General features: G+C 34.5%; 1 pseudogene; it reads left to right on the forward strand.

Annotated features, from left to right (window-relative positions):
• RPS6P24 (ribosomal protein S6 pseudogene 24) lies at positions 2,487 to 3,314 on the forward strand (annotated as a pseudogene).

Consider the following 10,970-nt stretch of genomic DNA (forward strand, 5'->3'; position numbering starts at 1 on the left):
GCTTGATTTTTTTCTGTTTCACAAATGACTGAAATAATTCTTTGTAAACATTTTTAAAAATATTTTAAAAAATTCTAAAAACCAGTAAAGTCTAATTAGAAAAAATATCAAGTAAAAAGCAGTATTTCCTCTTCTTGAGCTTTATTAAAGCAGAGATTCCTTAACTATAACCAACTTTGTCAAGGAAATATTTATTTTAAATAAATATATTACATCCTAAATACAGCAAGGCAACAGATGTATCAGAGTGAATTAAAAAGTGGCACATTCTTGGGCTTCTCCCTGGCAGTTATATTTTTGGCTTTGCCCTCTGTGAGTGATGGAATAATTTCTAGTCTTTACAGAGATTTTTTTTTAAAGTCACAAAAGTCAGAAAGGTTATTTCATATGTAGTAAGGAAATTATGTGTATCATCATAGAGTCTAGCCAGGAAACAGAAACCACCTGAGTAGTTAAAAAGACTTTAATGGAGAAAATTGATTCCCTGGGTGATGAAAGAGCTGAGAAACCAAAGAGAGGACAGTGGGCCAATGGAAAGATCCCTAACAGCAGGAAGCCAACCTGACCCATGACTGAAGGGATAAAGAGTGAACGCAGTGTTACTGGCACTAGTGGAAGCTGGAACCATAGCTGGTTTGCCTGCCAAGAGCTGGATTCATGAGGCTGTTGGAAGGCAGGGGAAGAAAAGAGATACCCTGGCTTCTTCCACCCCACCACCTCCTCCATAATCTATTTGAAGCCACTGAGCCTGGGAAACATAGCCGCAGAGGTTGGTGTCCCTTGATGCAGAGCAAGGGGAAGGCAGGGAAAGGATGAGAGGGCAAACAGGTCCAGAATGTTCTTATCATGGAATTGCCTACTAAAGTAGAAAAGATGTGAGGGAGTCAGGGAGGGGCTGGTGTTGAAGAAAGGCAACGTGGAATGAATCTGGCCATCTATGTTTTGGTAGAGGACATGAAATGGACCCTGTTAGTTTTGTTTACTCTTTTGTAAGAGAAGAATCAACATATATTGGACTGAGATGAGCTATTCTGCTTCTTGATTTTGTATTACATACTAGATTTATCAATGCTACTATCATCTTACATTTTTAGTTAGACACCTGGGGGCAGGGACCATAATCTGCATCTGTTTTACCACAAACTTTTAGTATCCCACTATGATGTCATGATATTCTAGTGGTGTGTATAAACATAACATACAAACACACATTTTTAAATAACAGAGACATGATAGAACATAAAATATGATGGCTACAGGAATCAGTGATGCAAATTCTGAAACATAAGTAGCAACCTAATGTTCTGTGAGAGCGTAAAATTCCAACCTATTCATCAAGACAATTTTAATAAAATAACGACTTCTATGGCTTGATGGGAGACCTATTACAATGAGGTCAGATTTTGCTTCCCAGACTATTTTGGTCAAGAGGCCACATGTTAGCCACTGATGGATTTGCTGAAGCCAACAAAAAGAAGTTGAACAGGAGACAGGAGAGTGTCTGACTAAAGTAGATCATGAGTGAGGGTAGCAAAGGGATCTTTAGGGCCTCTGGGAAACACCAGCTAGTTCCTGTTCACTGAAGTTCAAGAATGAACTGTGCAAAACCATTAAGGGTATATTATTACCCTTCATCTGATCTTGACAAGAGAATTTTTGGTGATAAAAAAAGAAAAAAGACAGACTGATTAAGCTGCATCTGGGTTAACTTTCCTAAATAGCAAGTTGGCAGACAGCCTGGAAACAATGTAAATTCTGCTTCATTAAAATTAAAATCACAGTTGATTTTTTTCTACCTAGCTGGCTATTGGGAAATAAAATGTCAAGGGTTGCATGGTTTATGTAAAAGAGCACATAGTAAACCTGCACAAAAATTCCTATAGATGGGACTGGAGGCAACCATGTAAACTCTGTAGAAGAATGGGTGGCTGAGAGGAACAGCGACAAGTACTGGCCCCCTCCAGAGGTCCCGTATACTCATGAAATGATGTTCTAAAAAGGTCAAGAAAAGAGGTTTGCTAATAAGCTTTTTTTTTGAAAGGAAAATAACAGCTGACTTGTATATTAAATAATTAAATAAACATAATACAGTTTTCATTGACCAAAAATTGGCACATAAGAGTTTTTTTGTATAAACATTTTTTTCTCCCACGATGAAACTTGAAACTCAAGGGAGCACTTTGCAAGAAAAATGACAATGTAATATTTTCTCTATCAACTTTGAATAAAAGCCAAATAAATTAAGTCACAACGTGTGTCTACGGCATCAAATGTATATTGATTAACTCTTTCTAGAAAAAGCCTAAAGGCAAAGAAAAAAGTCAAAATTGACTGAGTTTTAGGTCAATGTATCCAGTAATATTCTGGGATGAAGTCAAGATAGGAAAATTGTGAAGATGAGTTCATGAGAGAAAGGTAAAATGTGTTTATTTAGTATATGCAAATAAAAATGTCTAATACGTAGTTAAAATATAGGATTGGCTCGTTCTTTTTCATGGTATTTCAGAGGGAAGTACCTCTTCAGAGTGAACATGAATGTTTCCCTCTCAGTCACTAGCTGCTAGAAACGCACTGAAATGGACAGTGAACACAAACATCATACCTTTTATGAGAAGCGTATGGCCATAGAAGTTGCTGTTAATGCTGACTGCAGAGTGAAAAGCTTATGTCATCTGAATCAGTGATGGGAACTGCAAACAAAGTTTCCCCATGAAGCAGAATGTCTTGACCCATGGCTGTGTTTGCTGCTACTAAGTAAGGAGTGTTCCTATCACATGGCAAGGTGAACTGGAGAAAGTACAAATATATTTGAGGTTGCATTGTGGATGTCAATTTGAGTGCTCTTAATTTGGTTATTGTGAAAAAAAAAAAAAAAGTCGGGAGAGAGAAGGATATTCTTGGACTGACTGATAATACTATGCCTCATCACCTAGGGCCCAAAAGAGCTAGCAGAATCTGATAAGTTTTCAAATATCTGTAAAAAGATGATACCTACCATAGGTTGTGAGAAAGTCCCTAAACAAAGAAGGTAAGGAACTCAGGACCAGACTGCCCAGGATTCAGCATCCTGTTATTCCATGTGTCCTGCATCACAAAACATCCACATATTGCTCTGAAGACACAGCTTGCTAAGAAAAATAAGTAAGAGGCTGCAGAATATGCTAAACTTTTGACCAAGAGAATGGGAAACCAAAGAGAAATGCCAGGAACAGGTCCCTGAGAAGCAGAGGCTGTTCTCTCTGAGAGCTTCTACCCTGACCTTGAATCCAGTAAAAAATAAGATTTTCTAAGAGTAGCAAATAAATAAGATCAGATAATTTTTGAAATGAAAAACACAGGAAGTTTAGGTAAAAGTCAGTAGTAAAAATGTAGGTTTTTTTTCAAACACAAATATCATAACTAAGGTTAAAGGATAAAGAATGGGAAAAGAGGTTAATGGCACATATAAGAGAGGATTATCTTTCAGTAAGCTTTTACAAGTTAATAAGAAAAAGACAAAGACTATGATACAGGAACTTCACAGTGGTATAAATAAAAATGACCAATAACACCATGAAAAGATGTTCAGTCCCCTAGCAGCCAAGGGTATGCATATTGAAAGCATTTTATACCTTTCAAGTTAGCAAAACAAAAATGTAATTTGATACTGTATAGACAAGTTCAAGTGGCCATATGTCACTTGAACTAGGCTTGCTTGAGTAGCATTTCTTGGGGAATACTCAGGTGGCAGGAGCAATAGCAGGGGCTGTGGGGCACTACACAGCAGCCTAGTAGAGCTTAACTCTCAGGTCTGGGAAAAGACTCAGATCTTTGGGCTGTGATGCTTTTATGTTGCGGGATTAGGGAAACATCAACTTCATCCCAGGATGCGGGGCAGGTGGGCATTAAATGCCAGGATTCAACAGCAAGGTGATATGGAGAACCATTGTTAGAGCTTTAAGCTGATAGTTTGGTGTTCTTGTTTGGGAATAATGTCAGCCCCTTTCTTGGGAATTAGGTAGGAGGGATATCAGCCTCACACTTAGAGCTGCACATTGTGGTAAGTTAGCAAAAAATTCACCCCATCCACCTTCATGGCTGTGGAAGCATTGGCCTCTCAGTTGGCATGATGGGGTGAGGAAATAGGGACCAAGCTTTGAGACTGACAGGTATTGATTGCCCTAAACAAAGACTGTATAGCCAATTTCCATGGGGCCTTGCAGAAGTCCACGTCTCTCTTCAGAAAGCCAGAATATAGGGGAATTTAACTTGGACAAATTAATCCTTATTTCTCACAACGGTTAGCAAGAGTATGGAGGCCATGCTAGTCCCATACAACACAAACAGGGGTTTTAAATTTTACAGATGTTTTGGGAGTGAAGAGAACTACTCCCTAGTCTCAGACAATATTCCAAGGAGATTGCAGACTCCAAAGAGGAATAACTACAATTTTCCTACTCTCCAGACATCTCCAGAGGTCACGTTTAAAGTATGATTTTAAAAAGCTGTAGAGTTACGTTGGCCTGATGGACTGTGTGGCTTGCACAATGGACATTTCAGTAAAAACTAGTGGAGACAGATAACCAATGTCCACAGGATCACCAGAATACCTTCCAACTTGTTTATAATATTAGATCCCTGGTGCAACCTTGGAGTGGAAGAGATTCAAGAACAACAGATAATGTTGCCCAATAGCCCAATGGGAAGGGGAACTGAGCTGAGTCTGAAAAAAATCAAGAACTGCTTTATTTCTTATACAAAAAATACAAGTTAAATTCCAAGAAAATGTTATTTTACTTTATCTTTTGACACTTTATGTCCCATTCTGGAGGAATGAATATAATTTTATGATTTGCTAATGTGTCATACTGGCCATGAGCATTCAAAGTGAAACCAACCAGGTTTCAAATTACTCTACAATTGAGTGACTGAGATATGATTTTTAATCTTTTAAGACTTCATTTCTACAAGTATAAAATAGAGATTATCTATTAGTTTAATTAATCATTAAGATTAGTGAGACAATGTTTTATAAAGCTTTTGGCACAGTGCTCCTAATCAGTGGGACTTTAAGAGTGCTTTAAGGGCAATATTCCTATTATGGAAGACTGAGAAAACAGAAGAAAGGGGGAAAGAACAGCAAAAACTCGATTACTCCAGCATAGTGCAATCTTTTGGACAATTTACTTTTACAGTGGAATTTTTACTTTTGGGGATTGTTTTGTTGTAGTTGTGCCTGTTTTCGTGAGGGTAGAGACTATGAACCTCAGCACTTAATCAGTGAAAAAAAATATTGCGTGAATGAGTCAGTCAATACATTGGAGCTAATCTGCGGGGGTTTTTTTCCCCACTTTTTCATTTTATAATAAAATGCTAGAAATTTTCAAATAGACACGAATGTTCTTTAAAAAAGATTTTTTATGTAATTTTCAACCAATCAAGATTTTCATTTTAAGTTGTCTACACTATTACTTCAAAATATCCCAAAAGTGTGATTAGGCAGCCTCAAATATGTGAAGATTATTTCTCAACTCATTTTAAAGCACTCAAACTTCAAGTATTTCATTATTACTCCTAATATGTGTAAATAAAGTAAATTTTTACATGAATTTTACTGAGAATCAAATTGCTTTCTACATATGAAAAGTCAATTTCTCCTTTCTGTCTCTTTAAAAATAATATGGCAATATACATGTGGAATTGCTAGCTTACTTAAGATTCTTCAAATCGATGTTTTTTTCTCCAAGAATTTTCTAATAGTCTCTCAAATCCCTAAAATTATTTCTTTAGCAAGAGGCAAATCATTGATTTCCATTATGTTTTTGTACTTGCCTAGGTAGAGTTTATTTCCTTCTTGTTGTTAGTAAGAGAATGACTCAAAAGCAGCTCATGTCACTTATCTCCTGGCTCAGTATTCATTTGCAATTTCTGTGATGTGGACAAGAGAATGCTGACTAATTTAAAAACATAGAATATATATAAACTGAATCTAGGGGAATTAGGGCAATCTCTAGAAGACATGCTGGGCCTCTGATGGGAATATCTGCAGCTGTTGACGCATCTCTTGCTACTCTTTTTCTTCTCCTCTCACACATACCCTGACTACATCTTTCCACAGCAACCAGTCAGGCTTTCTTCTCCTTCCTCTGGATTAATAATTACTTTGCACCCCCGTGAGATTCACTTTTCCCCAGATTCTTAAAGTAAGTCTCAATAATAACATAGACAAAATTGACATGCATAAATATCATTGATCCATGAATTATTCACTTTCCTTCTTCACTTATTAATGTGTCTGGTTATTTTACCTGCAATTAGCTGCTGCGACAAAAGATTCTTGGGGCAAGAAAATACAAATTAAATTGTGGTTTTAGTTTTCATCATTGAATTTTGATTGAATAAAAACCCAAAGTTTTATATACTTAGAGAAAGCACTCTTAGAATTTCCTTCTGCAGAATATATCCGAGTAACACTTGAAATTAACCGGCTCATATCAGAAATATTGGAAAACAAAAAGTATATAAAAAGACAGTTTTATCTCTATAGTAGAAGCTGTTTCTTTATAATAAATAACTTGAAAAAAATTTAAAAACTAAAAGTTAATGAACTAATCTTTTGAATCGTCTTCATTTAAGACATGGAATTAAGCAAACTTCCTTCAATATTCCTTCAAGCCGATTGCCCTTCATCATCTTTATTAATATCATTTGAATGTTTAGTTTCATTTAATATTAAAATATTATTTTGAACATTTAGTACTTTTTCTTAAAAATCACTTTGACATTTGTGTTGTGGATTGTAATTACAATAATTTTTTGTATCACTGCCTGTTTCACTGAATGCATACAATGCTAATCAAAAGTCATGTTGACACTGGGCTGCTTCATTCTTCAATTCTTAATTCTGATTCCTTTCTCAGTTTTTATGTATTTCTTTTAAAGGTAACTTTTTTTCAGGAAGATTATTTGAATTAATAGACTTTCAAATACTTTTTAAAATTGATATTAATGATCGTATTTATTTATGGGGTAGAGTGTGATGTTTCAAAACATGTTTACATTGTATAATAACCAAATCAGGGTATTTAGCATATTTATCAACTCATACATTTATCATTTCTTTGTGGTGAGAACAAGTTATTCTGAAATATATAATATTGTTAACCATAGCCACCCTATTATGCAATATAAAACATGAGAACTTATTTCTCCTGTCTAACTGTAACTTTGTTCCAGAAATTATTCCTCTCCTCTAACTGCAACTTGTCTCCATTGGCCAATCATTCTCTACTCCCCTAACTCTGGTAACTACTATTCTACTCTGCACTTCTGAGATCACCTTGCTTAGATTCCACATATGAGTAAGATTATGTAGTATTTGTCTTTCTGTTCTGGCTTATTTCACTTAACATAATGTCCTTCAAGTACATCCATGTCACCACAAATTCCAAGATTTCATTCTTTTTATGGCAGAATAGCACTCCATTGTATATAGATACCCATATTTTCTTTATCCATTAATAGACACCGAGGTTGATTCTATATCTTGGCAATTGTGAATAGTTTTGTAATAAACATGGAGTGCAAATATCTCTTCAACATACTAATACTATTTCCTTTGAACATATATCCAATAATGCAGTTGCTGGATTATATGGTAATTCTATTTTTAATTTTTTGAGAAACTGTCATACTGTTTCCTATAATGGCAGTACTAATTCACATTCACATCAAGAGTGTATGGGTTCCCTTTATTCTATATCCACATCAGCATTTGTTATATTTTGTCTTTTTAATAACAACTATTCTAATTAGTTGAAGTGATATCCCACTGTGGTTTTGAATTGCATTTCCATGATGGTTAGTGATATTGAGCATTTTTTCATAAACCTATGGATGATTTGTGTATCTTCTTTTGAGAAATGTGTATTTGAGCTTTTTGTCCATTTTAAAATCAGATTTCCTTTTTTGAGTTGCTTGAGTTCCTTATATATTCTGACTATTAGTCCCTTGTCGTATACATAGTATTTGACACATTATGTAGGTTGTCATACATGGCTTTTATTGTTTTGACGTATGTTCCTTCTATACCTAGTTTATTGAGGTTTTTATCATGAAGTGATGTTGAATTTTATCAAGCGCTTTTTCTGGATCGATTGGAATGATCATGTGATTTCTGTCCTTGATTCTCTTAATGTGCTGTCACATTTATTGATTTGAATATATTGAACCAATCTTGCATGCCTGAATGAATCCTTCTTGATCATGGTAAATGATCTTTTTACTATGCTGTTGAATTTAGTCTACAAATATTTTGTTGAAGATTTCTGTGTCAATTGTTCATCAGTGATATTGGCCTGCAGTTTTCTTTTTCTGTTGTGTCCTTGTCTGGCTTTGGTATCAGTGTAATGCTGGCCATGTAGAAAGAGTTAGGAAGAATTCTCTCAGCTTCGATTTCTTGGAATAGTGGGGAAGAATTGGTATTAGTCCTTTTCTAAATGGTAGAATTCAGCAGGGAAGCCATTCAGTCCTCAGCTTTTCTTTGATAGGTGACTTTTTATTATTGATCCAATCTCATTAGTGGTTATTGATCTGCTTAGGTTTTCTATATCTTCATGATTCAATTTTGATAAGTTCTATGTTTCCAGGAATTTATCCATTTCTTCAAGTTTTTCCTATTTATTGGCATGTAGGTGTTCATAATAGTCCCTTATGATTCTTTTATTTCTATGCGGACAATTTGTAGTATCTTTTTTTGTCTCTGATTTTATTTATTTGGATCTTTTCTTTTTTTCTTAGTCTAGCTAAAGGTTTGCCAATTTTATTTAGTATTTTTATTCATTTTAATTATTTTTTGTATTTTTTAAGTCTATTCCATTTACTTGTGTTCTGATTTTTATTATTTCTTTCCTTCTACTAATTTGGGGTTCTCCTTATTTTTCTAGTTCCTTGAGGTGCAATGTTAAGTTGTTTATTTGAGATCTTTCTTCTTTTTTATGTAGTTGTTTATTACTATAAACTTCCCTCTTAGAACTTCTTTTGCTGTACCTCATAGGTTTTGGTATATTGTGTTTTAGTTTTCATTTGTGTTAAGAAATTTTTAAATTCCCCTTTTGATTTTTTTTCATTGATCCATTGGTAGTTCAGGAGCATGTTGTTTAATTTCCATGTATTTTTAGTCTCCAATATTCCTTCTGTTACTGATTTCTGGTTTTATACCATTGTGTTCAGAAAAGATACTTGGTATGGTTTCAGTCTTTACATTTGTTAAGACTTATTTTGAGGACTAAAATATGATGTATCCAGGAGAATGTTCCATGTGAAATTGAGAAGAATGAGTATTCTGTAGCTGTTGGATAGAATGCTCTGTATATGTCTGTTAGGCACATTCAATGTAGGGTGCAGTTTTAAACCACTGTTTCTTTGTTGAGTTTCTAACTGAATGATCTGTCCATTGCTGAAAGTGAGATGTTAATATTCCCTCCTATCGTTGTATTGAAGTCTATCTCTCCTTTTAGATCTATTAATATTTGCTTTATATATTTAGGTGCTCCAATGTTGGAAGCATATATTTAGAATAGTTATATCCTCTTAATTGATCTCTTTATCATTAAATTATTAAGTTATAATGATATTATTTATCTCTTCAGTTTTTGACATAAAGTCTATTTTATTCAGCATAGCCACTCTCGCTCTCTTTTGGTTTCCATTTGCTTGGAATATCTTTTTACACCCCTTCACTTTCTGTCTGTGTCCTTACAGGTGTCCTATAAGTAAGACTCTTGTAGGCAGCATATAGCTGTGCTTGTTTTTTATTGTTTGTTTGCTTTTATCAATTTAGCCACTCTATGTTTCTTAAGTAGAGAATGTAATGCATGTATATTTATATATAGTTATTGATAGGTAAGAATTTACTACTGTCATTTTGTTAATTATTTTCTAGTTGCTTCTAGATCCTTTCTTCATTTTTTCATCTTTTACTATCTTCCTTTATGGTTAAATGATTTTCTCTAATAGAATTTTTGATTCCTTGGATTTTATTTTTAATGGATCTATTATAAGATTTGCTTTGCAGTTACCATGAAGTTTCTGCTGCATTTGATCTCCTGGTTGTATGGACTGAATATCTGTGTCCCCTTAAAATGCTAAAATCCTAACCCACAAGGTGACAATATTCAGAGGTAGGGGACTTTGGGAGTTGATTAGGTCATGAGGGAAGAGTCCTTATAAATGGGATTAGTATCCTTGTAAAAGAGGAGTGAGAGAGCTCCTAGCCCTTTCCACCATGAGATAACAGTGAAAAGGTGATCATCTATGAACCAGAAAGCTGACTCTTACCAGACACTGACTCTGTTGACACCTTGATCTTGGACTTCCCACTCTCCAGAACTGTGGGAAATAAATTTCTATTGTTTATAAAACAACCAGTCTAGGGTAGTTTGTCTTAGCAGTCCAAATGGGCAAGGCATTTGGCAAATAAATAGATTGTATCATATTTCTAATTAATATTTTCAGGAAGCCCTATCCAGTAATCTAGGCAATAGAGCCAGTATAGACAGTTCAGTCACATATTTTAGGCCCCAGAGTAGATTCCAGAAGGCCCAATTATTCAGTTAGTATGTCTATACTAAATAAATTACTTAAGCGCTACTCTCCTCTTTGCAAGCACAATCATGGACAAAGACATATAAAAATAATCTTTTAAATACAGATGAAGCAGTAACATCACTGAAAAGTTTATTTTTGCCCAATCACTTGAGTAAATTTCCAGGAGGAGATATGCATGATTATGATGCCATCTTGGATTCACAAATTGCTGTTTTTATGAAGAACTCAATGATAATTAATAGTGCAGATGACATAAAGATTGAAATAAAATCAGCTCATATGAGCTATAATTGTAAATTATGTTGAGATTGCAAGTTCTAATCTTTTAGACAACAAAGCTAAAGTTTTCCTTTTGTGCAATCTAAATAATTACTCTATATTAA

This window comes from Homo sapiens, chromosome 14, assembly GCF_000001405.40.
Source record: "Homo sapiens chromosome 14, GRCh38.p14 Primary Assembly".
NCBI classification, from domain to species: domain Eukaryota; kingdom Metazoa; phylum Chordata; class Mammalia; order Primates; family Hominidae; genus Homo; species Homo sapiens.